The sequence below is a fragment of the Homo sapiens genome, chromosome 12, assembly GCF_000001405.40.
Source record: "Homo sapiens chromosome 12, GRCh38.p14 Primary Assembly".
Lineage (NCBI taxonomy): Eukaryota > Metazoa > Chordata > Mammalia > Primates > Hominidae > Homo > Homo sapiens.
Window position 1 is genome coordinate 82,649,819 of NC_000012.12, and position 1,725 is coordinate 82,651,543.

General features: G+C 35.5%; 1 annotated feature.

Annotated features, from left to right (window-relative positions):
• Positions 220-1,419: an enhancer, noted in NCBI's record as "BRD4-independent group 4 enhancer chr12:83043817-83045016 (GRCh37/hg19 assembly coordinates)". NCBI's record gives its function as "activates an origin of replication core promoter dependent on BRD2, P300/CBP, MED14 and CDK7 cofactors, and independent of BRD4, by STARR-seq in HCT116 cells {active_cell/tissue: HCT116}" and the evidence as "EXISTENCE:reporter gene assay evidence [ECO:0000049][PMID:35650434]".

The following is a 1,725-nucleotide window of genomic DNA, read 5'->3' on the forward strand; positions in this document are numbered from 1 at the left end:
TGCTTGCTTCCCCTTCCCCTTCTGCCATGATTGTAAGTTTCCTGAGGCCTCCTCAGCCATGCAGAAATGTGAGTCAATTAAACCACTTTTGTTTATAAATTACCCAGTTTCAGGCAGTATCTTTATAGCAGTGTGAGAATGGACAAATAATAATTGGCATGCCCTTTCATAAATTTATATTTTTGCATAATCCTGGTCCTTCTCTCTAGCCTACACTCTTAACTTCTTCATGTAGGGAATTCCTCTTCATTCTCTATGTCCCAACTTAAATAGTAACAATTTCTATATATTAAAATCAGCTTCTGTCTATCAAGTAGCTAATAAGTACCAGGAATTAGGCTAAGCACTTTCCAAACATCATCTCATTTATTATTTACAATAAATCTGTGACATTTTCTAGATATGAAACTTCAATAAAGAGGTTAACACAAGTGCTTTCAAGCTATTTATAATAAAGGACCATCATTTTTATTTTTAATCTGTCATTGACTAAAACTTTTCTAAAATGTAGTAAAAATAAATAGCTAAAATCATGAAATTTAAAAGGCTATAAAAATACAAATTCAATTTATTTATTATTAGATTACATAAATATAAAATTAATCAATCTGTTCTAAAGGTTTCTAGCTCTACATTTCTGTGCTTTGTCATCAATGACTGATGGCAGACTTCTTTTATCAGCTCATAGCATACTTCTTTCACCTGTTCTTATCCTGGAACTATACTTTGAGTAGCACTGTTTAGCAACTTGTTACTCCTGTAGCAGATCAACATTATTTTGACTGCAAGGTTTTGTTCTGCACTTTTAATCACCAAGGCTTCTTTTTACATTTTAGGAACCTAGACCAAATTATCAATAGGCCCAAGCAAGAAATGCCTTTCTCAGACACCTTTTCACACTAAGGCTTACCTCATTTCCTGACCTCAATCTGACCTTTCTCTGTATGACTGACAGTGGGAACAGTAGGGAATTATCAAGGAAACCCCACCCATCAGGGTGCGGTCCTATGACTCATCAGAACAAAGTAGTCCACTGTGCCTGCAGTGAAGTTATTCAATCTTAGATAATGCCACACATGGAGCATCAGGTTCCTCTCGTCAGGCTTCCTCCAGGGAGCTTCATGCCTACCAGTGTTTCCAACATTCTTGATGATCTTCTTTTCAGATTTCCTGCAATCAGTTGCCTGAAAGTTTTACACCCACAACTCTGAGAATAAGCAATAATCTACAGCACTGGGCAGTTTTGGAAAAGGAACATTTCTCCCAAAGACAACCAAATCCACAGAGGCCAGGTTCTACTAAAAGGGACTCAATTAACATTTCCCAATAGAACAAATAACTTCTTAGACCGGAAACATCTGCATGCAAGTAATAGCCCTGTCTTTCTTCAGCATAATGTGGGGACCTAGTTTTACAATTTCATCCCTTAAAGACTCATTGTGCTGTGTGTTTTTCCTCAAAAAATAAATGGGTGGTCTAGCTTAAAAGTAAATACAAGTGTCTAAAATTTAGACAACAAAAAATGTATAACACCATTTACTTTTTTTTCCAAGTCATACTCACAGTTTAGAAGAATGCTAGTCCTGTTTCAGTCAGTCATTTTAATTCATAATTCAATATACACAGTCTATTTCAGAATTTTATAACTTGCTATGAATACCAATCGCCCCTTCCCTTGAAATACCCCAAACCTAAAATAAACACTGGAATATATTTCTGATACAT